This window comes from Homo sapiens, chromosome 6, assembly GCF_000001405.40.
Source record: "Homo sapiens chromosome 6, GRCh38.p14 Primary Assembly".
Classification (NCBI taxonomy): Eukaryota; Metazoa; Chordata; class Mammalia; order Primates; family Hominidae; genus Homo; species Homo sapiens.
Window position 1 is genome coordinate 8,465,126 of NC_000006.12, and position 26,670 is coordinate 8,491,795.

General features: G+C 34.9%; 1 long non-coding RNA gene across 2 annotated transcripts in view, besides 2 other annotated features; it reads left to right on the top strand.

The window, feature by feature from the left end:
- LOC100506207 (uncharacterized) overlaps window positions 1–26,670 on the top strand; it is a 349,823-nt gene that overhangs the window by 29,503 nt on the left and 293,650 nt on the right. The window lies entirely within an intron of this gene.
- Window positions 4,160–4,329: an enhancer, noted in NCBI's record as "experimental_96153 CRE fragment used in MPRA reporter constructs". NCBI's record gives its function as "activates a minimal promoter by MPRAs in K562 erythroleukemia cells, with activity observed for both the introgressed and non-introgressed 6:8469603 variant alleles {active_cell/tissue: K562}" and the evidence as "EXISTENCE:reporter gene assay evidence [ECO:0000049][PMID:34662402]".
- Window positions 10,736–10,905: an enhancer, noted in NCBI's record as "experimental_96161 CRE fragment used in MPRA reporter constructs". NCBI's record gives its function as "activates a minimal promoter by MPRAs in K562 erythroleukemia cells, with activity observed for the introgressed 6:8476179 variant allele {active_cell/tissue: K562}" and the evidence as "EXISTENCE:reporter gene assay evidence [ECO:0000049][PMID:34662402]".

Genomic DNA, 26,670 nt, shown 5'->3' on the forward strand with positions numbered 1-26,670 from the left:
TATTAAACTTCTTAAGCACCTTATCATGTTAGACATTTTCGCCTGAATGATTTTGCTGAATGGTTTTTGTAGCTCTCTAAAAACATTTTGTGGATGCATACTTATATTCTTTTTTCATTCATTCATTCAGTAACTATTTTTTGAGTGCCTGCTACCTGCCAGACACTGTGTTAAGAATTGGGCATATAATGGTAAACTAGACAACAGCTGGCCCTTCCATCATGCAACATGCAGGGGACAAGGATAGAGATTAATGGGGTGGCGAAAGCAAGGTATTCAGGGAAGGTCAGCCAGGAGGGAAACCTCCCAGACAGATGTATGGACATGTGAAAGAACTTGGAGGTAAAAAGGAGTTTAGCAAATTCTAGGAACTGAAAGAAGATGACTGGGACTAGAATGCAGTGAGAAAAGGTGTATGTGGTGGCTTTGAAATAATTACCACTATACATTATATGTATTGAAACATCGCTGTATACCTCATAAGTATGTATGCACAATTATTTTTCAATTAAAAAATAAAAAGAAATTGTAAAAACGTCTGCAAATTCTTTCCTAAGATGGCACCTAATGTCCATCTCTTATATCTGGGCTGGACTCAGTGGTTCTTTCCTAGTGAATAGAATGTGGTAGAAGTGATGCTATGTGATTTCTGAGGTTAGGCCATTAAAAAGAACAGCTTCAGCTTCTACGTGACTCGCTTGCTGTTGGATCTCTCATTCTGGGAAAAGTCGGCTGCTATGTTGTGGGGACTTGCAGCAGCCTGCAGAGAATCCCATGTGCAAGGAGCTTGAGGCCTCTGCCAACAGCAAACATTAATTTGTGAATGTGAATGAACCACTGTGGAAGTGGATCCACCTGCTCCAGTTAAGCCTTCCATTGACTGTAGCCCCAGTCGACATCACATCTACAACTTCATGAGACACCCCCCAAACCAGGACCACCCAGCTAAGCCACTTCTGAATTCCTGACCCAAAGGAACTGGGAGATATTTATTGTCATTTTAAACCACTAAATATTGAGGTAATTTGTTATGCAGATAAATGATACAGAAGAGAAGTGGCACTTAGTTTGCTTCTGGCTTCAAATAACACAAGACCCAACTAAAGTTATGAGGAGTTTATTTTGTCCCATAATAAGAGGTGCACAGGTAGTATACCCGCAGCACTGGTCAAGTCAGTGGCCCAGTCAACACCCAGGTCCTCACCATCTTTCTGCTCTGTTATTCTTGCTATGTCGATGATGTCTCCTCACAGAACCACAAAGCAGCAGCAGCTTCAGCCATCCCCTGGGCCAGACAGGCATTTCCTCCTGTGTCTTTTCATAGATGAAGAAAATCTTCCCCTCATTCCTGGTGGTCAGAGCTGGATAAAATATCCACCCTTCAACCAATATCAGACAAATGACACAGATCAGAATAAACAGAACATGCTGACGAATTGGATGTGAAGCATGAGAAGAAATGGAGAGGACCAAGATGACCTGGATTTCTGGCTTATGCAACTGCATAGAATGTAGTATCTTTTTTTGTTTTGTTTTGGTGGGAAGACCAGAGTTGTGTGGAAAAATTAAGAGTTCTATTCTATTTATTATTATTATTTTCAGACACAGTCTATCTCATTTGAGACAGTGCAGTCTCATTGCACTGCACCAGGCTGGAGTGCAATGGCACAATCTCGGCTCACTGCAACCTCTGCCTCCCGGGTTCAAGCGATTCTCCTGCCTTAGCCTCCCGAGTAGCTGGGATTACAGGCGCCCACCACCATGCCTGGCTAATTTTTGTATTTTTAGTAGAGATGGGGTTTTGCCACGTTGGCCAGGCTGGTCTCGAACTCCTGACCTCAGGTGATCCACCTGCCTTGGCTTCCCAAAGTGCTGGGATTACAGGCATAGGCCACCACCCCCAGTCAAGAGTTCTATTCTATATGTTAAAGCTGAGAGGTCTGTCAGACATCTAAATTGAGATGTCAGGGAGCAGTTGGATATTTACATTTGGAATGAAAAGAGGAGGTAAAGACATAAGCATAATGAGCCAAAAGATGAGTTTTGAATCCATGTAGCGGATTAGTCAACTGTGGGGGTGTGGATGAAAAGTGGCAGAGGAGGCCCAGAGCCAGGCTCTGAAGAACCCCCATACCCTAGCTTGGGGAAAGGAGGAGGTGGCAGCGAAGGGAGACCAGAAAAGTGGTCAGGAGGAAGAAAGGCAGAAAGTAATGTTGCCAGGGAAGCCACAAAGGGAGCAATTTCCAAGAAGGAGGGAGTGGTAATTGTTTCCCATTTGCCAAAAGGTTGAGCAGAATGAAGATGTAAAAGTGACCTTTGGGTTTAGCACAGTAGTTTCTGTGGTGGGGGAAGAGGCAGATTCCTAAGGGGCTTATGAGTGAATAGGACATGAGGAAGTAGAGACAGTGTGTAAATACAACTGCTTGGAGAAGTTGTCCTGGGAAGGAGCAAGGGTTGCTACAGTGGGGTGTTGGATCAAGGAGATGGAAGTAAGAGTAGGAGAGATTAGAGCACATCTTATGCCAGTGGGAACATTCCCATACAGAGAGAATGATTGATAATGCAGGAGGAACGAGGGACAGCGGAAGGAGTAAAATCCCTGCAAACAACATGCACACACGCATCTATGCATAGTCATACCTAACTTTAAGATTAATTAGTAGAATACAAATAGAATATTTGTATGTTGGGTCTGTTAACTATTTTTTTGGCAAGGCAATTTTGCAAAGTGGCCAAGAACCCAGACCCCTAGACAGAGATTTTTAAATCAGCTGTGTGAACTTGGGATATTTGGGTTATTTACTTAACCTCTCTGTGCTCCAGTTTCCGCATCAATAAAATGAAGATAGTAATTACAATACCTGCCTCATAGAGTTGTCAAAGTGACCTAAGTTAATGTACGTAAAGTATTCAGAGCAGCGCTGGTACAGGGAAAATGCTGTATGTCTGAGGCACCTACTTGCTAGTGTTTGCTGGGTTTGATTCTCCTAAGTAACTTAGGCCGAAGTGTTATCTTCAGAAAGAAATTATTGATTTAAATTTTATTGTTATTTCTACATGCTTTTTGGATTATGTGTGGACCTTTATAAAAAGTGCCATATATTGAGATGCAACCTCAAGAGATGAAATGAAATTTACAGTTTCAAAGATAGTTATCTGACCATTAGTAAAAAACATGGGTTAGTATTTGATATTTATTATCTTCTGCCTGTTGGAGCTCTTACATTGAAATAGAAAAATATTAAAAATGTGATATCTAGACATTCATCAGAAAGCATCCGAAGATTATTTGGGTGGAGTAGCCCAGGTGCTAAATTAAACAACATAGTACGAGCTGGATAATGGATATGAACCTTGTACTACATATGCAGCACTTTCTTCCTCTCTCACTGAATGTTAATTTCCACCCAAGACTGTATAGCCATTTTCAGGAGTGTGCAAAGGTAGAACATTTATAGGAATTAATGCTCTGTGGGTATACAATGCGGAGACCCTGAAGAACTAAAAAAGCATGAATAAATGTATTCCAATTATAGGCTAATGCAGGTAATGGGTTTATAGTACTTAGAGGTCTGGATCTGCTCTCTGACAGCCTGCAGACATTAGGGGCCCCTCATGGCTCTGCTGCAATGTAGGCATTATGGAGTGATTTTTACTTTACTGCCTTTTCCATCAGATCATCCCCTTTCTTTCACACACAAGGTTAATTCACTTCTTGATCACATTATTTCCTCGCTGCTCTTTGACAATATAAAAATTCTGAGTGGACAGCTCAATCCCTCTTCCATCTCAGATTTGATTGTTATGGTATTGCCTGGCGTCCCTCAGAGGCCTCCAGCAGCCTTTGCTGCACTTTATGACACTTAAATGGCTCGGCTACAATTTCTCCATCTATTCACGAAATGCTGTTAATAACTCATTTCCAAAGAGGCCCTTCTTTATGTCTTGGCATTAAAGGAATTTTTATTAGGTGCCAGGATAGGTGACACACAGCCCCAGTAACCAAAGAGTTAATTAATCTGTTGAAATTTATTGCCTTTTATACTGCACTCAGTGTGACAGTCCCTAAGAGAAACAGATACTATATTTACAGCCCGAGTTGAAATATTCAGTAATATAGTCTGCATACTGACCTACTCCATCAGTGTATGCCTTCTGCTGGAACATCCATTAATCACAGAAGATGAATTTGTGTAATCTATCTTCTTTCTTATTCTGAGATTCCAATAAATATTGAAATAATAGTTTATTGATTACCTTGCAATATAAATGTGTAGTAAAGGCACCCAAGACATTTGCATGGTAATGCATTTTGAAAGTTTTTGGCATTCTATGGGAATGAAAGGAAAAACTGTGAGGAGTGGCATGGAATACTCTTGTGGGTGAAACTCCAAACTGATTTCTTAACGTGTGGAGAGAAATGAGAAGAGCTTTTGAACTACCAAAAGTCATAATCATAGCCATGATCATTACATTCTTCAAAGCAAACATGAATATTTACTGAGTCTTTGTTCTTTGAGCATTATCCTCATAATATTTTAGACCACAAATAATTTTCTTGTGCCACAATTTCAGTTGTAAAGCCACCTCCCGCCTGCACTTAATCCAGGCAAAGATGAAAAGGGTATAGGCATGTGGATGCTAGCTTCTATGTAATACCAGTGAAACCTTCTGGGACTATTCTATAAACTCTTCAGGCTAAAATATATATTTCCTAAGACCATACTTTGAATAGTGTTTTAGGCTCTTGGCCTAAATCTAAATTCGGTCCTAAATTTTCATGAGTTCTGTTACTTATGGAGGTGTTAGTTTTGTCACTATGCTAGAATCATAATAATTTTTGCATCAAATCTGTCTTGTTTCAGAAACAGAGAAGAGTATGAGAAGTGTTACAGAACATGAAGATACCCTTGTGGCTCAAACATACTTATTTTTAAAAACTCTAAAAGTCTAAATGTGTCTGTATCTGGATATATTTTCAGTCAACTTATGCTGTGTTGGGTAAAGGTAAACCAGCATTTTCTAATCTATATTTGTGCCACTATCACCAGCATTACACGATAAGATTTGTTATAGGTTCAGTTCTTCTAGTTGAATCCAATCATGCACAGTTAATGTAGCCCATTTCTGTTCTCCATAATAATTTATCTTAGTTTTGGGCAACTCTTTATAGTCAGGATAACTCTGCAGAGTGGATGAAATTCTAATGAGTGGAATTTGTTTTCTAGTGCTTTACTGATAAGGTTAACCAGATGGTGAAATGTAATAGCTTGGAAGATGTAGTTTTGATATACAGTACATCATTTCTGGAATGATCATGAAAAAGCAAAATCAACAGAGCTTTTTAGATTCTCTTTTTTGGTCATGAAATTGAAAATATACCTTTTTAGAGAGAAATATCTCATCATAGTTCTCCTGACATTTAAACTGCTTGGCTATATATTTTTAAAAGAAGACAAACTTTTGAAAATGTTGCTATAAATTTTTATGTATTGTAGATTTAAAAAATCTCATTTAAAAAATGAAAGATTATGAAATTTTTTATGTCACCTGAAGGAATGTCTATGATGTGAATTTCAAATAAAATAGATTTTCTTCAATATTTTTAGTAATGATATCAATTAATTCACTAAGAAACTCACATTTCTTCCAAGACATTGAATTTTGATGAAACCACAAATCAGTGATTATCAAAATATTAGAATTAAGCAACCCTGAACATTATTTTGCTATAACATTTGCTAATTTGGCACAGATATTCTTTGAAGATGGACAATATACATTTTTTCATCTGTTTTGATTTTTGCTGATATGGATTATGTTAATTATGGAAATCTACAAGTATCTCACAAATAAATTATGTGGATGCATTTAACTATAGATTTTTCTTTTGTGATTTTTCTATGAGATAGCACATTACTGCATAATTGCTGTACTTTTTTGGTGCTTTTTCCTTTTTCCTTTCAATATTAATCATCGCTGCTTGTTCTCATATAAAGGTACATTCTGATTTAAGTTCTCCCTGGTGTTTGGCTAATTGGGCTATTCGCTTAAAGCATACTCTGTTTTATGTCTTTATCTTCCATGGTATTTTACATTTTGGAATGACTGATTCTAATTCCTCTTCCACAGTGGCATAAGTTCACAGTAGCATAACCTTGGGAATCCATTATATTTGTCCTTTAGAACACTGCTTTGTTTTTCTCCACACAGTAATGAAAAGCGGTGGCATTTTCCAACACCCACAATGACTCTTCTCCTTTTTTTAGTAATGCTACTTTTTCTTTGCTTAGTTCAAATCAACACAAAGTCTTATTTCTTGAGCATCTATTACGTGGCAAATTTTGTGTTAGGTACTGAATATGTGAAGTTGGATAGGCATAATTGCTACTCTCAAGCTGTTCAAAGTCAAAGTCAGTTGCTTGAGACAGAGAAGTAACAAATAATGATTTTTAAAAGCCTTTTTTACCTCTTACCACATTAAGTCCGTAACTTTGGAAACTTACTGTTGAATAAGGTTGGGAGCTAGCCATTTATTGAGTATTTGTCCACGGGCAGGCGCTTCTTTAAATACTAGAAGTAGATTGCTTCACTTAATCCTAACAAGGCCATGAGGCAAGGACTATCATTCTATCACCCCCATTTTACTGCTGAGTGAAGTGAGTCGCAGGGAGGTGAAGGGACTCAGGCCCTTACTCTCGGTACCCGGAGGAGGGATTGAAATGCAACCCCCTGACCCCAAGGATGGGGCATTCATCAGTAACTCTCTGCTCTCTGGGAAGACACATATGTTATTCCAAATAAGAATTAACCATTCTGTTTGTGTATTTATTGTCTGAGTACCATTTATTGAGTCATTTCCCCAGAGATTTGCAATGTCCCTCTATCACATAACAAGTTCCACACATACATGGGACTGTTTTTAGGCTATATTTGTTCTTAGATAATCTGTTTTAGTTTTTTTGTCTATTCCTACCCTATTTCCACAGTTTTCATTGTTAGGATTTTATAGAAGTTTTAGTCTGATTGGGTGACACACACACACACACACACACATACACATAACATATATACATAAACACACATACATACACACACTATTGTTTTCTTATTGAAAATATGTATTCTGTTTTGGGCTTTTAACTTTTGGTTTATTTTTTATTGTGAAATTTATTGTGCATACAAAAGAATACACAAAAGTTTATGTCCAGTGCAAAGAGTAATAATAAAAAGAGCAACCACAAATTGATTACCCGGGTCAAGACATAAAATATAGCCTTGATGTTACTTTTGTAACCGACCCTTCTTGAATTCATTCTCCTCCCAACCTCTCCTTTCCTCCCAATGGTCACAGGAAAATGGTTGTTGTGTTCACTTTTTCCTTGCTTTTCTTTATCTTTATAGTTTTCCTATTATGTGAATAATATATGATTTAGGCTTATCCATTGATGATATTTATTTATTTATTTATTTATTTATTTATTTTGACACGGAGTCTCGCTCTGTCAACCAGGCTGGAGTGCAGTGGCACAATATTGGTTCAAGCGATTCTTGTGCCTCAACCTCCCGAGTAGCTGGGACTACAGACACATGCCCCTGCACCTGGCTAATTTTTTGTATTTTTGGCAGAGATGAGATTTCACCATGTTGGCCAGGCTGGTCTGGAACTCCTGACCTCAAGTGATTCGCCTGCCTCGGCCTCCCAAAATGCTGGGATTACAGGTGTGAACCACCACACCTGGCCTCCATTGATGATATTTACATAACGAAAACAAATTGCACAAATTTTCTCTAACTTATTTTGTTCAATGTTATGTTTTTGATTCATCTATGTTGGTGTAAATATATGTAACTAATTTATTTTCACTGCTGCGTACTATTTCATTGTGTGAATATAATAAATTATTTTTCCATTGTACTGTTGATTGGTATTATAGCCATTTCAGGTTTTACAGTTATGAGCAAGGCTGCTATGACTATGTTTGTATGAATACTCTAGTATGCATGTGCAAGAGTTTCTAAGTATACTCTTAGGGGTTGACTCACTGAATCGTAAGGTAGGCACATTCAAATTTATTAGGTAATGTCAAACTGTTTTCCAAAGATGTTGTACCAATTTATACGACCTCCAGCAGCATATATTATATATCTACACTTTGTTAACACTGTGTTGTCTGATTTTAGTTTTTTCAATTCATTGGTATAAAATAATGTTGCACTGTGATTAATTTTTATTTCTCTGATTACTATTGATATAGTGAGGTTGAGCACTTTTTGGTGTATATACATATGTATGTGTAAAATCACACACACACGTTTTTTGTCTTCTATGAAGAGCTAAGTCATTTTAATTTGGGGTTGTCTTTTTTTCTTGATTCTTAGTTTTTGTTGTTGTTGTTGTTGTTCATTTGTTTGTTTTTTTGAGACAGGGTCTTGCTCCGTTGTCCAGATTGGAGTGCAATGGCATGATCATGGCTCACTGCAGTCTTGACCTCCAAGGCTCAAGTGGTCCTCCTGCCTTAACGTTCTGAGTAGCTGAACCACAGGTGTACGCCACCACACCTGGCTATAAATAACTGCACGAGACTGGGTAACTTAAAAAGGAAAGAGGTTTAATTGACTCATAATTCAGCATGGCTGGGGAGGCCTCAGGAAACTTACAGTCATGGTGGAATGCGAAGGAAAAGAAAGGCGCCTTCTTCACAAGTCAGTAGGAAGAAGTGCCGAGTGAAGGGGGAAGAGCCCCTTATAAACCCGTTAGATCTTGTGAGAACTCAGTCGCTATCACGAGAACAGCATGGGGGAAATTGCCCCCATGATTCAATTACCACCACCTGGTCTCTCTCTTCACATGTAGGGATTATGGGGCTTATGGGGATTACAATTCAAGATAAGATTTGGGTGGGGACACAAAGCTTAGCCATATCACCTGGCTAATTAAACAAATATTTGTAGAGATGGTATTTTGCCATAATGGCCAGGCTGGTCTCAAACTCCTGGCCTCAAGTAATCCTTCCATCTTGGCCTCCCAAAGTGGTGGGATTACAGGCATGAGCCACCACGCCTGGCCCACAGGATTCTTTATATATTCTCTATATAAGATTTTTTCAATAATGTGTCACAAATATCTTCTTTTAGCTTGGAGTTTATGTTTTTACTCTATGGTAACTTTTAATGACCGGACATCTTTCTTTTTAATGTAGCTGAATTTATCAATATTTTCTTTATAGATTCATGTTGTGTCTTGCTTAAGAAATACTTTCTACCTTAGGTCATAAGGATGCTTTCTTATATTATCTTTTAAAGACTTTATGTTTTTGCCTTTCATATTGATTGTCAATCAACCAGTAACTATTTGTTTCTTTTTGATATATGCATGGTGTGATGTAGGAATCAGATAACAGTTTTTGACAAGGGTAATTAAAATGCCTAGTAGCTTTGGAATACCTCATCTTTTTCCCAGTGATCTGAAGTTTCCTATGTATTATATGTCATTACAAACCATTTTTGCATGCATTTGTTTCTGGGCTTTCTATTCCATTCATGGGTCTATTTATCTGTGCATATATATAGACTACAGTTCTTAGTTATATAGCTTTATAGTAAATCTTAAAATCCATTTGCTTAACATTCCTCTCCAACTTGGTGGCTATTTGGGGGCTTTTGTTCTTACAAATAAATTATAAAATCAACTTTAATTTCAAAAATAATAATAACAATGGCACATCCTGTTGGGATTCAATTTGAATTCTCTACAGATTAATTTTGGGAGAATATACATATTCATGATAGGGTCTACTCAACAACAGGGGATATCTGTCTATTTGCTTAGGAATCTTTAATGTCTCTCAATAAAACCTTATAATTTAATCCATAAAGGCATGCCTGTATTTTGTTGAATTTATTTCTTGATACATGTTATTTTAATTTCTATTGTACACATTAAAAAGTTATGTTTTTGATTGTTGCTGGTGTAAACATTTGCATTTGAATTTTTTGCACTGATTTTTTGTCCCCAAATTGTTTGTGCCATCACCAATATAAAACTTATTTGTAGATGTCTTTGGATTTTCTTGAAGAAAATAAAACAGTCATGAGTAATTATAAGTTTTTTTTCTGTTTTTCCAATTCCTTTCATCTTTTGCTCTTTTCTTTTTATCTTACTGCACTGGCTAGGACAGCCATGAAAGTGTGAAAATCAATGGTAATGGCAGGTATCTTTAGATTACTTTTAACATTTTATTATTAAATATAATGCTTACTCTCTGATTTTTAAAATATACCTTTATCAGGTTTAGAAAGTTCTATTCTGTCCCTCATTGACTAAGTTTTCTCTTTCTTTTTTATTTACTTTAGTAGTCACAAGTGGATGTTGAATTTTATTACTTTTTCTGCATACACAAAGATTTATCTCCTTTAATTTATTAATATGAATGATTTATAATAATCAATTTTCTGATATGAAACTTGCTTTGTAGTCCTAGGATAAACTCTGTTAGATATATGAATTGCAAATATTTTCTCCCGTTCTGTGGCTTTTTTCATTTCTTGATCTCGTCTTTAAAATTTAAAAGCAGTTTTAAATTTTGATAAAGTTCAATGTGTTAATTTTAATTTTTATTTTTTTGAGACAGAGTCTCTATGTTCCCCTAGTCTGGAGTTCAGTGGCAAAATCTTGGCTCACTGCAACCTCTGCCTCCTGGTTTGAAGCGATTCTCATGCCTCAGCCTCCTGAGTAGTAGGAACTACAGGCATCACCATGCTAATTTTTGTTATTTTTTGGTAAAGATGGGGTTTTGCCATGTTGGCCAGACTGGTCTTGAACTCCTAGCCTCAAGGGATCTACCTGCCTTGGCCTCCCATAATGCTGGGATTACAGGCATGAGCCACCACACCTGGCCTCAATGTGTTATTTTTTAAATGGTTAATACTTTCTATATCTCTCACCCTAAGAAAAAAATGTGCTTAACCTAAGTTCACAAAATTTTTCTCCCATATGCATTCTTCTAGACTTTTGATAGTTTTAGCTTATATATTAGATTATATGAGTTCATTTTTGTGAGGTAAGGGTCCTTCCTTCCTTCTGCATATGGTTATCCAATAATTCTAGTATTTGATGTTGAAGAAACTTTTCTTTCCCCATTTAATTGCCTTGAAACCTTTATTGAAAATCAGTTGACCATACATATTTAAGATTATTTTCTCAAACTTTGTTAAAGATTTTTGCATATACATTTATGAGGGGTGGTGATTTGCACTGTTCTACTAATGTTGTTACCTGGAGTTAGTCAAACTTTGAGGTTTGAGGGCATATGCCTCCTGACCCCAAAGTCTTCCCAAGATTTCTAACACCAACAGCAAGTTCAAGGGTTTCCCCAAATCACTTTCAGATTTGACAATCACTAGGACTCACAGAACTCACTGAAAGTGATTGTACTCACAGTTGCAGTTTATTACAGGGAAAGGATACATTAAAATCATCCAACGGAAGAGACATGCAGGGCACAGTCTGGGAGAATTCCAAACATGGAAGCTTCTATTGTCCTCAGGATGCCTAATCTTCCCAGATCAATGTGTTACAATACACGTGAAGTATTGACAACCAGGAAAATTCACCTGAGTTTCTATGTCCAGAATTCATTATGTAGGCATGATTGATTGATTTAGCCCCACTGTCCTTAGAGACTGGGCTGATATGCAGTCTGATGGATCCACTATGAGTCATCTTATTAACATAAGCTATTAGGTGTGGTCTGAGGGGCCAATCATGGAAAACAAAGACAATTTTATCACTTGGTAAATTCTAAGGGTTTAGAGGTTACTCCTAGGAGCTGTGGACAAAGCTAGACCTCTCTTAGGGCAAGACAAAATTCTTTACCACATAGTCATCTTATAGTTTTGATATTAATTATGGTCTCATAAAATGATTTTGAGGGTGTAGTATTTGTGCTATTACTTTCTTATATTTGTGGGATTCACTACTAAGCCAGCTGATCCTGGAATTTTTTTGAGGTAAAGATTTTTTTCTACAAAGTAAATTTCTTTCATAGATATAGGGAGATTCGTTCTTGAGGAAGCTTTGATAGTTTGTGTTTTTGAGGAAATTTTTATTGTATCTAAGTTGTGGAATTTTCAGAACACACATTTATAATATTTATTACTTGTTTGAATGTCTGTAGGATCTGTGGTGATGCTCTCTTTTGCCTTCAGCTTTTGGTTTTACTGTTTCTTTGTTTCTGTTTGCTTTTGGTTTAATTTGTTCTTTTTAATCTTTTCTAGTTTCCTAAGGTGGAAGCTTAGATCATTGATTTGAGACTTTTCTCCTTTTATAAGTAATTAATACTTTGAACATCTCTGCAATCACTATTTTGTTTCAGACAAATTATGATGTTCTGCGTTGTCTTTTTAATTCAGTTTAAAATATGTTATAAGTTTGGGTGTGGTGGTTTATGCCATAATCTAAGCATTTTGGGAGGCTGAAGTGGGTGTATCCCTTGAGCCCAAGAGTTCCAGACCAGCCTGGGTAATATGACAAAAACCCATCTCTACAAAAAAATACAAAAATTAGCTGGGTGTGATGTGATGGTGCACACCTGTGGTCTCAGCTACTGGGGAGGCTGAGGTGGGAGGATCACTTGAGCCTGGGAGGTCGAGGCTGCAGTGAGCCGAGATTGTGCCACAGCACCCCAGCCTGGGAGACAGAGTGAGACCCTGTCTCAAAAAAAAATTTCCCTTGTGATGTCTTCTTTGGTTCATTAGTTATTTATAAGTACGTGGTTTATTTTCCAAATATGCTAGATACCTTTTGTGCATTGGTTTGTATTTTAATTCTGTTTTGACCAGAGAACATATTTTTCTGTGATTTTAATCATTTTACAGTATTTGTGACTTGTTTTATGACCTAGAATATGGTGTATCTTGATGAATTTTTTATTTATGCTTAGAAAGAATGTGTATTCAGCTTTAGGGTGGAATATCCTATTAATATTAATTAAGTCAAATTTATTGACAGTATTGATTAACTTTTTAATATCTTTACTGATTTTCTTTCTGCTTGTTTATCAATTATTAAGAAAAGAGTGTCAAAATCTCCAACTGTAGTTGTGGGTTTTTCTATTTCTCTTTTCAGGTCTATCAATTTTGCTTCATGTATTATGAAGCTGTTTTTTTAGGTGCATACAAATTTAAGATTGTTCTGGTCTCTTTACTAATTGACCTCTTTACTATTAAAAAAACAAACAAACAACCCTATTTTTCCCTGGAATTAATCTTTGTTCCAAAATTTTCTTTGTCTGTTATTGATATCAAGTATTATTTATATAATGTTTTATGGTATGTAATATTTCCCCTCCTTTTGTTTTATTTATTTTATGTTTTATTTATTTGTATTCTTTATATTTAAAATGGCTTTCTTGTAGACATTGCACAATTGGGTCTTGTTTTTTAAAATCTAACCTAATAATCTCTCCCTCTTATTTGGAATGTTCAGACCATTTTTATTTATTGCATCATTTTTGTTGGATTTGTTTTCTGTTTAATACATCTATTATTATTCTGCTCCTTTGTTCTCTTTTTCTGTCTTCTTTCGAGTTAACAGATTTTTTATATTACATTTATTTAATATTAGCTTATTAAATATATATTTTTCTTTTTTTTGTGGTTGCTTTTGAGTTTACAGTATACATTTTTAACTTACCCCCTTCTACCCATATCACTTTACACATATTCTAAGAATCTTAAAACACTACTTCATTTGTACTTTCTAGTCTTTGGACTATTCTTACTATTTATATTATTTCTACATACAAATTTCATAATTCATTTTTATTTTTCTTTAAAATAGGAATTATATTAACATGAATCAATATTAATTATATTAACATAAAACATGAATTATATATACTTATTTGTTTATTTTTAATTTTTGTGGGTACATAATTGGCACATATGGTCATGGGGTACATGACATATTTTGATACAGGCATACAATGCATAATAATCACATCAGGGTAAAGAGGGTATTCACTACCTCAAGCATTTATCCTTTCTTTGTGTTACAAATAATCCAATTGTACTCTTTTAGTTATTTAAAAATGTACAATAAGTTATTGTTGACTGTAGTCACCCTGTTGTGCTATCAAATACTAGATCTTATTCATTCTCACTATTGTTTTAAACTCATTAGCCATAGTCATTCTCTCAACCATGAATTATTATTTAAAGAGATTTAAAAAAATGAGTAAATGGGCTGGGTGCCATGGCTTATTCCTCTAATCCCAGCACTTTGGGAGGCCGAGGCAGGTGGATCACCTGAGGTCAGGAGTTTGAGACGAGCCTGGCCAAAATGGCAAAACCCTGTTGCTACTAAAAATACAAAAAATAGCCAGGCTTGGTAGCATGTTCATGTAACCCCAGCTACTCAGGAGGCTGAGGCAGGAGAATCGCATGAACCCGGGAGGTGGAGGTTGCGGTGAGCCCAGATGGCGCCATTGCACTCCAGCCTGGGCGACAAGAGCGAAACTCCATCTAAAAATAAAAAAAAAAGAGTAAATGTATTTTATATTCATTTATCACATATTTGTCATTTCCATTGTTCTTCATTCCTCTATTTAGATCCAAATTTCCAGGTGGCAGCAGCTGCTGCTGCTGCTTCTCCTTCTCCTTCTTTTTCTTTTTTTGCTTGAAGAAATTTCCTTAACATTTTTGTAGTGCAGTACTGCTAGTGATGATTTCACTCTGTTGCTGTTACTCTGAAAAGTTATTTATTTCACCTTTATTTTTGAAAAGTATTTTCTTTGTGTTTATAATTCTAGGCTGGCAGTTTTTCTAGTATTTTAAAGATATCTCTCCATTGCTTTCCAACTTGCATAGTTTCTGATGAGAGGTCTATTTACGTTCTTCTAATTGTTCCTCTCTATGTAGTGCACCTTTTTTCTCTGCCTGCTTTTAAGATTTTTTTATTACTTGTTTTCAAAATTTGATTATTTTGGTGTGATGTTTCTTACATTTCTTTTGCTTAGACATCACTGAACTTCTTAGATATGTTGGTTTACAATTTTAATCACATTCAAATATTTTTTATTTATTAATATTATTTCTTGAGAAATATTATCTGCCTCCCTGTCTTTTCTTGGTTTTTGTTTTAACATATGTAACACAGCTCAATATTGTTTCACAGGTCATTGATGCTCTGTTAATTTTTTTCATTCTTTTTTCTCTGTGTGTTTTACTTTTGATAGTTTCTACTGCTATGTGTTCAAGTTCACTAATATTTTCTTCTCCAGTGTCTAATGTGCTGTTAATCCCATTGAGTATATTTTCCATTTTAGATATTGTATTCCTTTTCTCTAGAAGTTCCATCTGGGTCTTTAAAAATATCTTTTAACTCTCTCTTCATCCTATTGTGTACTTTCTTGCACATATGAAGTATATATATAATATTTATTTTATTATTATTATAGTTTAAGTTTTAGGGTATATGAAGTATATTTATGATACCTGTTTTAAAATATTCTTTTACTAATTCTATCATCTGTGTCATTTCTGGGTCTGTTTCTATTGGTTAAATTTTTATTTGTATATGAGTGATATTTTTGTTCTTCTTTACATACATGATAATTTATTAATAAAAGTTCAAACAAATTTATTTTAATATGATTTAATTTTTAAAACATCATGAAATTATGAAAGGGCAAGGAATATCAGTAGAATGTCCCAACTTTGCAAATGTGGAAATCATTGTTGTATATCAAATTGATGTTAACATTTTTAGGTAGAAAATGAACATAAATGTTTTTGCTCAAATAATTCCCTTTCCCATGTAGCCTTCACTAATGCCATGAGGGAAGAGGGGCTTATTACTGCTGGGCAGTGATGGTATTCCTGAGTCCTGACTCAGAAACGAGGACCAGCTTGGCCTCATTACAGTCAAGTGAAGGTAGAAGTCTAAGCTCCCTACTCAGCATTTTCTGAGGGAGGGCGTGGGGCTGATGTCTTTTTTCATAGTGTTTGACTGGAATACGGTGGTAGTTGTCTAGAAGTTTCCTGCCTTGCTTGACTGCCGCTCTCCAGGTCCTTTGGCTAGAGAAAATGAGCAGGCTTTTCTTGGGGCTTTTGTTTGTCTGCATCTGTTGGTATTTTTGGTTTGCTGGCTTCTCCAGCACCTAAACTGGTATATATTAAGCAAAAAGAAAATCCACATAATTAACCAACTGTTGTGTTGTTTTTTGGATCCCAAGAAAGTCTACCTTCTTCTTTCCACATTTCAGTCTTCTTATGCTTGATTTACAAATAATGCCCAGGGTTTCAAGCTGTATCCCGTTGGAATAATAGGAAGAAGTGTGTTTATACGATCTTTTCCTGGAAAGAGAGAGCATGCCTGGTAATTTTTGAATGGATACTAGACAATAAGAATTTAGTGTTCTTTACTGTTGATTTTTTATATTCCATCAACTATTACTGGGATTGATTCTGGGATGAAATTAAGTAACTTTGAACTAGTTTTATTCTTTGTGGTCTAGCTTTTAAGCTTTGTTAGGACTGTGCCAGAGAAGTCTTTGGTCTAGAGTGAATTTGACTTCACTCCTAATGCAACACCTTCTTTAGTAATTAACCTAAAGCCCTGTATACTAGGACATCTTCCCAGATTAGCTTCTGGGAAAATGAATTATTCCCAGACTTTTTTGAGCTTCATAGGGTTATTCCTCCTACTCCTTACAGGTAGCTCTTTCTTTGGCCTTGTGTATATCCTCCTATCAGTTCTTAGCCACAGTCTTTAGGGATTCTTCTTAAGATCTCTGGAGGGAGCTCTTTCCTCGTCTAGTTCCCTCTCATGTTTTACCTACCCTCTCAACCCCAAATTTCAGCACTTCTGGTCTCCCATCTGTCTCCTAGGTTTTGGGGTCCTGCTTGGGTTTCTCTTTCTTGTGCTGCAACTTGGAAATTCTCTTCAGGCAGTAACCTGGGACAATTGTAGCACTGACCTCCCGTGTTTCCCTGCCATTCAGTGTTAAAAATTGTTGCATCAAACATTTTGTCTGGTTTTCTAGTTATTTAAGGCAGAAGGTAAATGCTCTCATTCTTAATCCATCCTGGTTGGAAGTAGAAGTCCTTCTTTGCTTCTTGCATTGTCACTTTTCCCCTTTTGGTTTCAATTTCCTCCAATTAACTTCTCATTTCAATTACCTTTCAATTACTTGTAGTAGGTTTACTGTTTATCGATCTATCTATCTATCTATCTATCTATCTATCTATCTATCTATCTTTCCTCTAATGTTTTGCTTGTGTTTTGCCAGAGTGAACTGTTCTGTTTTCAGTTGTCTGATAATATCTTTATTAGGTTACCACTTGAGTGATATTTTAGGTGAGTATACATTCTAGGGTTTCAGTTATTTTATTTCATCACTTGAAATCATTTCATTCCCTGGCATTATAAGCAGACATCTGCTTATATGATGTCTGCTGTCAGTCTAACTAGTTTTTTTCTTGGTGTAAGTTATTTATTTTGTTCAGTTGCTTGTAATAATTGTTTTCTTAATTTTAATGTTTTATAGTTTTACTATCACAAATCTAGGTGTGGACTTTATTATATTTATTTTGTTCAAGACTGAATTATTTTTTAAATCTAGATCTAGGAGACTTTTGTTTTTCATTAGTATTGTAGAATACTTAATCATGTTTAAAAATATGGTGTCCTCTTATTTTATCCTTTCTTTCTTCTAGTGGTCCCATTGAATATATGCTGAATTTTCTCATTCTATCTTCCATGCTTCTAAACATTTTTTTCTTCACATTTTTCTACTTCCTTTAAAAAATCTGTATTACATTTTGTGGTTATCATTTCAAGCCTATTTTTCAGTTCATCTGAAAAATGTATCTTCAGCTGTTTCTAATATGCTGGTTAAAACTCAGAAACTGAGTTTTAATTTTAGTAACTGTGTTTTTCATTTGTAAAAGTTCTGCTTGTTTCTTTTCTCAAATTACCTTTTTTTTTTTCCTAATTCTTGGTTCTTTTATCATGGTTCTATTGCTTCTTTATATCCTTACTCATTTAAAAATATATTTATCTTATGGCCATTTTCACATCCTATGAAATGTATCTTCTTTATGCATTATTGTTCTTTCAATTACTTGTTATCTTTTATTATGAGATCATCTTCAGTAGGATTTGTTTGTTATGTGGAGTCTACTGTACCTGGGGTTGTTTGTGTGTTCCTTCAGAATAGATTTTTTGCATAAGTTTCAGAGCATGCAGTTTAGTGGGACTTTCAGTTATTAATTTATTCAGTTTAAATTTATTGTCTACTTCACCTGTAACTTCTTGTTGGTCTCTTGTCCCTCTGTATTTTATTCTGAATGATCCTTCTTCCCCAGTTTTGTAATTTATTGTAGGTTGAGAAATCAGATAATCAAGCCTATGAGAAGTCTATTTAAAAGGCAATTTCTTTTGGGAAATACTTCAACTAGCTATAGGGCATTCTTTATCTATTTACAGGCCAATATGTTCCAAACAGTTAAAATTGCCTGAAATCTGAATTTTAGTTCACTGATATGTTAATTATTTTAAAATAGTAGACTTTTTATATTACACGAGACTAGACAGATAATGTAATTATCTTTGTTTTTAATTTAGTAGATGTGAAAACTGAGATCCAACATAATTGGTTTTAGGTCACATAGTGTCAAAGCTGATCTGTGTCCTAAAGTTGCAGTTCAGGTTATCACTGGTTTCAGTCATTATTCATTGACAGTCTTAGAATGTCACACCAGCATGGTTAACCTCTTCCTGACTCACCTATCTTTGTAGATAATTTCTTTGATGATAAAATAACTGTAAAATGTCACTTGCAAATATTTTCCCAGAATTTTAAAGGAGAATCAGCTTTTTTTTCCTGGTCCAATAGAGAGAATATACAAAGTAAAAATCAAGATAATTACTGTTTACTTCAGCATGTTCTGTCTAAAATTTAGGCCATGCTTTTGTTGGGGCTAATATTACTCCAAATAAATAATCATGACGTTATTAGTCTGAACAATTTTGGAGATGGTTTTTATTTTCAAAAATAATGTTACTGAAATACTTACTTTCTCTCCTTCTAACCTGCCAAATTTCTGCCCTTCTTCCATTACTAGGTGAAAATGTTGCTTTTTCTGTAGTGTCTTCTCCAACCCTGAAGGCAGAGTCCATACAATGTTCCTTTCATTGTATTATAAAATGAAGGGTACTGTTGTCCCTAACAAAGTGGATGGAATGAATTAAGACACCCTAAAGCATTTGTGCAATAACAAGTGGATGACTGATGAAGAATATAAGATGAAAGAGCCAAAAATTTTTGTGTGAAAACATGTTGGGAAAATTTTGTTACCATATTATTTTTTGTACATTACAAAATCAAAAAAGGAAAAACTATGATAGCAAAGATGCTGAAATTTTAACTTTAATATAACCTATGATTACAAATCTATTATCAAAAACTAAAGTGAAAAAATGTAAAAAATGACAATATTAATGCCTGAATACAGGAAATAGACACATATTCTGAAAGCTTGACATTTGCAGATTAGCAGATAAAACATGTTAAGTGTTTAAAAAGTTAAATAAAAATACAATCTAAATTAGGTTATGGATATGATAAAGCAAGTAGAATATGGATTATTGTTAGTTTATGTGTATCTTAGTCCATTCATAATTGACCTTGTATTATTTGTACTCTCCGGGCTTTGATCATCACAAAAGGAAATATTTCAAATATTTGTTTTCCAAGTTGTGATTCTACTCTGTGAACTACTACCCATTAAAACAAATCCTATAGGCTTTCAGGTGGAGAAAAAGAAAATAAAAGTGCTCTATACTAGACTGTATCTAAGTGCTTTGCAAATTTAAATACAGGTTTGCTTTTAGATCTCAGCCACAATGCTATACAGAATCTTGGTATACTTAAAAACAAGCTCAAAAAAAAAAATACCCAAAACAAAACACAAACCCCTCAACAAAATACTAGCCACCAGCACCTAACAGCCTATACGAAGAAATATATACCATGACCATGTGAGATTTATCCCAGGAATGCAAAGTTGGCACAACCCATGAATATCAATCAATGTAATACACCATATTCATAGAATAAAGGAGAAAAAACCCACATGATTATCTCAATAAATGCAGAAAAAGCATTTGCCAAAATCTGACACCCTTTTATGGTTAAAAAAAGAGAAAAACAAGGCAACATACTAGGAATGGAAAGTTCTATAATCTGATAAAGGGCACCTACAAAAAACCCACAGCTAGTAATATGCTCAATGGTAAAAGACTGAAAATCTTCCCCCTTAGATGAGGAACAAGACAAGGATGTTCACTTTCACTGCTTTTGCTAAACATTGTACTAGAAGTTCTAGCTAGGGAAATATTGGCAAGAAAAGGAAATAAAAGGTGTGCAGATTGGAAAGAAGTAAAATTATTTTTATTCCAGATGACATGATAGAAAACACAGAGGAAGCCATTTCTTATATATAGAAAACCATTAAAAATTTCATGGAAAGCTATTAGGTTTAATAAATGAAGGTAGCAAATTGCAGGATACAAGACCAATTTACAAAAGCACTTGTAATTAAGTTCACTAGCAATAAACAACCCACAAATAAAATTAAGAAAACAAAATCATTTGCAATAGCATCAAAAAAAAAAGCCTAGGATACGTAGGAATAAATCAAGATTTGTATACTGAAAAGTACAAAAAGTCATTGTTGAAAGACATTAAATAAATGTCTTTTATTTAAAAAGTGAATGGAAACACATTCTATGTTTGTGAATGAAAAGACTTTGTATTGTTAAGATGGTAAAAGACTCCAAGTTGATCTGTAAATTCGATGCAGTATTTATTAAAATGTCAATTGCCTTTTTTAACAGAAATGGGAAAACTGATCCAAAACTTCATATGAGATAGTAAACATACCTGAATAGTCAAAATGATCTTGAAAAAAAGAACAAAGTTGTAGGACTCACATTTACTGATTTCAAACCTGTTAAAAAGTGAGATTAATCAAGCCAGTGTGGTACTGACAGAAATAATAGACATATATCGTTCAATGGAATGGAATTGAGAGTACAGAAATAAACCCTAACATATATGGTCAGTTGGTCCATTGATTTTCAATGATGGTGCCAAGATCATTCAAGGGGGGAAAGAATAGTCTTTTTTAAAATGGTGCCATGACAACTTGATATCCACATGCTAAAGAATGAATTTGGATGACTGTCTTACACTATATATAAAAATTAATCCAGCATGGAAGAAAACAGGTGTATATTTTCTCTACCTTCAATTAGGCAACAGTTTCTTAGATATGACACCAAAAGCATAAGCAATCAAAGAAAAAAATATATCAATTGAACTTTATCAACATTAAAAAGCTTTGCACATCAAAGGGCACTGCCAAGAAAGCAAAAAGACAGTTTGCAGAATGGGAGACAATATTTGCAAATCATGTATTTAATAAGGGTCTAGTTTATAAAGCATATAAAAAACCCATAACGGTAATAAAAAGGGAAATAATCTAATTGAACAATGCAAAAGTTTTGAGTAGACATTTCTTCAAAGATGATATGCAGATGGCCAATAAGTACATAAAATGGTGCTCAACTGCATTTTGGGGTGCAAGTCAATACCACAATGAGATACCACTTCATACCCATGCACTAGTATGGCTATAATAATAAATTAAAAGTCGCAGAAATTAACAAGTATTAGCAAGGATGTGGAGCTACTAGAACCATCATATGTTGCTGTTGCTAATGTAAAATGGCATAGCTACTTTGGAAAACAGCCTGGCAGTCCCTTAAAATTTAAACATGCAATTATCATATGACCCAGCAATTCCATTCTTATTATATACCCAAGAGAAATGAAAACATATATTTATATCAAAACTTGTACATGGATATTTATAGCAGCATTATTCATAATAGCCAAAGTGGAAACCACACAAATATACAACAACTGATGAATGGATGAACAAAATGAGATATAGTTATACAATGGAATATTACTTACCCATGAAAAGAAATGAAGTACTGTTATATGCTACAATGTGCAAGAATATTGAAAACATTATGCCTGGTGAAATAAGCCAGACACAAAGGCCACGTATCGTATGATTTCATTTGTATACAATGTTTAGCAAAAGCAAGTGCATAGAGACAGAAGGTATATTAATGATTTCCAGGGGATGAGGAAAAGGGGGAGTAGGGAGTGGGGTTTCTTTTTGAAGGTGATGAAAGGATTTGGCATTAGATAGTGGTTATTGTTGCACATTCTTTTGAATATACTAAAGACCACTGAGATGTAGACTTTCAATGGTGAACTGTGTGTATATAAATTACATCTCAAAAAATGAATAACCTAGGAAAATTAGCTCAGACCAATTTGACTCAAATTTCTCTCCTATTGTATTAAAAGTATTAATGTTGAGGTGAAAAAGTTGTCAACTTAGCATGTTTTATAGAGGTCCACTCTATTTCAAGTGTAATGGTAATTTACAGCTTTGCAGATCCATTCTTGCCAGTCGAAGATGATAAAAATTCAGAGGTCAGTAACATGACTATAATATGGAAACACAGTCTGTGGGCAGTGGAGCCAGTTAAAAACACAGTCTGTGGGCAGTGGATCCAGTTAAAATAGTGTAAGATTGTAAATTTAAAAAGGCACATGTAAAAATTTATTATTAAAAGATAGATATAAACATTAAAAATTGTATAGTGAAAATCTGGGCCTAAAGTCTGAGATAAAATTCACAAAGAGTGAAGCAGGTGGAGGAGGTTTTTCAAATAGAAGAAGAAATCAAGCAAATTTATTTTTCACTTGTTATCCTAACCATTATGTAAATATAGGTTAAAATGTTTAGAAAAATCTTAAGGATAATCACTGAGTTGAAAATAAGAAAAAAAAACCTTTCAAAAGAAAAATCAGACAAAGCAGCAGACAAATACTGCCACGTATAAAGCAAATAGCAAATAGCAATGAAACATCAAAACAGAAAACAGAACATGAAGACAAAATAAGACCAAATATAAACTTTGTAACTATAAATATGAATGCCTTAAAAATACAAAGGCGCAAATTGAATCAGGCAAATGAAAAGAAACAAAACAAAAAAGAAATCAGTGCTTGAAACGTTAAAATCAGACCAAGACCATAATAATTAGGTGGAATAAAGAGAAGGTCTTTATACTGCAAAAGACCTTTATATTAATGTCTTAATATAAATACCTTGATGTAATTATTTATAATTAAGAATAACTTAATATAAAGAAAACATCTTTATATTGCTGATTCCCAATGATGATAAAAGTAACAATTGTTACGTGCCAAATAACATATCATCAAAATATGTAAAGTAAAATCATTAAACTGCAAGGAAGAAATAATGGAAACATAGTCAGAGATTTTAACCTTTCCTACTCTATGAGATCAAGTAAGCATACAGAAAATCTCAGGAATGTAACTGATGAGTTAATTTAACAGATACATATGAAACGTTGTGGCTAACAAAAGCAAATATACCTCTTCCTATGCCAATGGAATATTCATGAAAATTGATAATTCAATAAGTTCCCCAAAGAATAATCGTTTTATTATAATAGAGTTAAAATGAAAATTAGTAAGAAAGATTTAACTCCCTCAAAATCACAACTTAATCATTTAAAATTAGCTTTACTTTAATTCTTAGTTCTTTAGTTAATTCTTTAGTTCACTTGACAAAAAATATTCCAAGAATGATTTTCTTAAAATATCCAGTTAACAGAGAAGCTCCGGGCCGAGCACAGTGGCTCATGCCTGTAATCACAGCACTTTGGGAGGCTGAGGCGGGTGGATAACCTGAGGTCTGGAGTGAGGTCCAGAGTTCAAGACCAGCCTGACCAACATAGAGAAACCCTGTCTCTATTAAAAATACAAAAATTAGCTGGGCGTGGTGGCAGGCACCTGTAATCTCAGCTACTCAGGAGGCTGAGGCAGGAGAATCGCTTGAACCCGGGAGGCGGAGATTGCAGTGATTGGGGATTGCCCCACTGCACTCCAGCCTGGGCGACAGAGTAAGACTCTGTCTCAAAAAAAAAAAAAAAAGAAAAAAAAAAGAAAAAGAAAAAAAAGAGAGGCTTCTACCCAAGACTAACAGGAAAATTAGGAAGCATAAATCTATGATTTTAGTATAGGTATGATAATAGCATTATAATTAAGAATAACATCACCAACTTCACCCACTTACTGACCACTGATTAGGATAAATAGTAGCACCTGCTTTGTAGGAGAGTGTGAAGATTTTATGTGATAAATTTCTAAAATGCTTACAGAAATATGTATCATAAAGTAAGCCCTCAATAAAAGTCAGTTTTGAACTACAGGTATAAAGTGTATTTTTAGGTATTTTATTCTCTTTGAAGCAATTGTGAATGGGAGTTCACTCATGATTTGGCTGTTTGTCTGTTATTGGTGTATAGGAATGCCTGTGATTTTTGCACATTGATTTTGTATCCTGAGACTTTGCTGAAGTTGCTTATCACCTTAAGGAGATTTTGGGCTGAGACAATTGGGTTTTCTAAATATATAATCATGGCATCTGTAAACAGGGACAATTTGACTTCCTCTTTTCCTAATTGAATACCCTTTATTTCTTTCTCCTGCCTGATTTCCCTGGCCAGAACTTCCAACACTGTGTTGAATAGGAGTGGTGAGAGAGGGCATCCCTGTCATGTGCCAGTTTTCAAAGGGAATGCTTCCAGTTTTTGCCCATTCAGTATGATATTGGCTGTGGGTTTGTCATAAATAGCTCTTATTATTTTGAGATATGTCCCATCAATACCTAATTTATTGAGAGTTTTTAGCATGAAGTGCTGTTGAATTCTGTCAAAGGCCTTTTCTGCATCTATTGAGATAATCATGTGGTTTTTGTCTTTGGTTCTGTTTATATGCTGGATTACGTTTATTGATATGCGTATGTTGAACCAGCCTGACGAGTTAATGGATGCAGCACACCAACATGTCGCATGTATACATATGTAACAAACCTGCACGATGTGCACATGTACCCTAGAACTTAAAGTATAATAATAAAAAAAAAGAAAGTGTATTTTTAGAACTATGTTTAAAGCAAATAACCTCACCTAGTGGTGAGTGATTTAAATAAACAAATATTTCTGTTTTCCTCATGCAACAAGAGCTCCAGAAGTAAGCAGTCTAGGGCTGGAATTGCAGCACAACAATACCGTCAAACACTAAGACTTCTTATAACTTCCTGTTTTCCTATGCTTCTTCTGTATCTATCAGCCTCATGACCACAAGACTGCTGGTACAGGTGAGGTGCGGTGGCTCACACCTGTAATCCTAGCACTTTGGGAGGCTGAGGCAGGTGGATGACCTGAGGTCAAGAGTTCAAGATCATCCTGGCCAATGTGGCGAAAGCCTGTCTCTATGAAAAATACAAAAATTAGCCAGGTGTGGTGGTGGGTGCCTGTAATCCCGGCTACTCGGGAGGCTGAGGCAGGAGAATCGCTTGAACCTGGGAGGCAGAGGTTGCAGTGAGCTGAGATCTCGCCACTGCACTCCAGTCTGGGTGACAGAGGGAGACTTCCTCTAAAAAAAAAAAAAAAATTGCTGGTACACCTCCAGGTATTGCATCTGCATTGCAGGAGGAAAGAAGGGAGATCAAAAGCTTTATCTTTTTGCAATTGTACCTTTTGATTTGAGACAAGAGCTCTCCCCACTGAATCATCACTGATCAGAAATAGGTTGTACAGCTAATGCTAATTGCAAAGGAGGCTGGGAGATTAAGCATTCTTAGTTGAACACAGTGCTATGCCTAACAAAATGCTGACAAAGGAGAAGAAGCAATGGATATTGCATAGGTAACCAGCATTGTCTTTCATAGAGAGCTATACAAAATTTTTATGTGCACTAATAAATTGAAATATTGTAATAAATGGAATAGCTGTCAAAAATATATTTATATGTAAATATATTGTATATATTTCCTTGATTCAAAATAATGGAAGATTTGCTTTTTAATTATTTGAGAATATATTTCTATTATTTTTTAAAAGGTTCCAGAGGATGCAAAAAGATAAGAAATATCTCTTTGTATTTCAAAGATGGCAAAACCTTGCTACCTTACAAAACTTGCTCAAAGAAAAATAAAACACAGGCCAAACTTGTTTATTCATAGAGATAAAAATGCTACATAAATAAAAGTAAATACATCTCAGCATGAAAATTAACAATAACAAGCTGTGATTAAGGGTTTATTTCTGGAATTAAGGAATGGTTAAATAATTGGATATCTATTTATATAATTCATCTCATCAGCAGATAAAATATGAAAAATGATTTTTTCCACAAAAACTCCTAGTGACTCCTAATTAAAGATTCTTCTTTAATATTATAAAGCATGTCCAAAACCAGCAATGGCCATCATTATAGTCAATGACATTTCTATTAAAGTCAGGAACAAGACAACAAGGCCCACACTATCACCAATGTTCTTTTATCCTTAAAATAAATGAGTTTGAGGACAGAGGCAAAATATTATCACTTGTCAATGATAGGCTTAGGTATCTGAAAACTTCCATAGACTATGGAATAAGCCTACTATAGCATATTAGCTAGTCATGCAGAAATATAT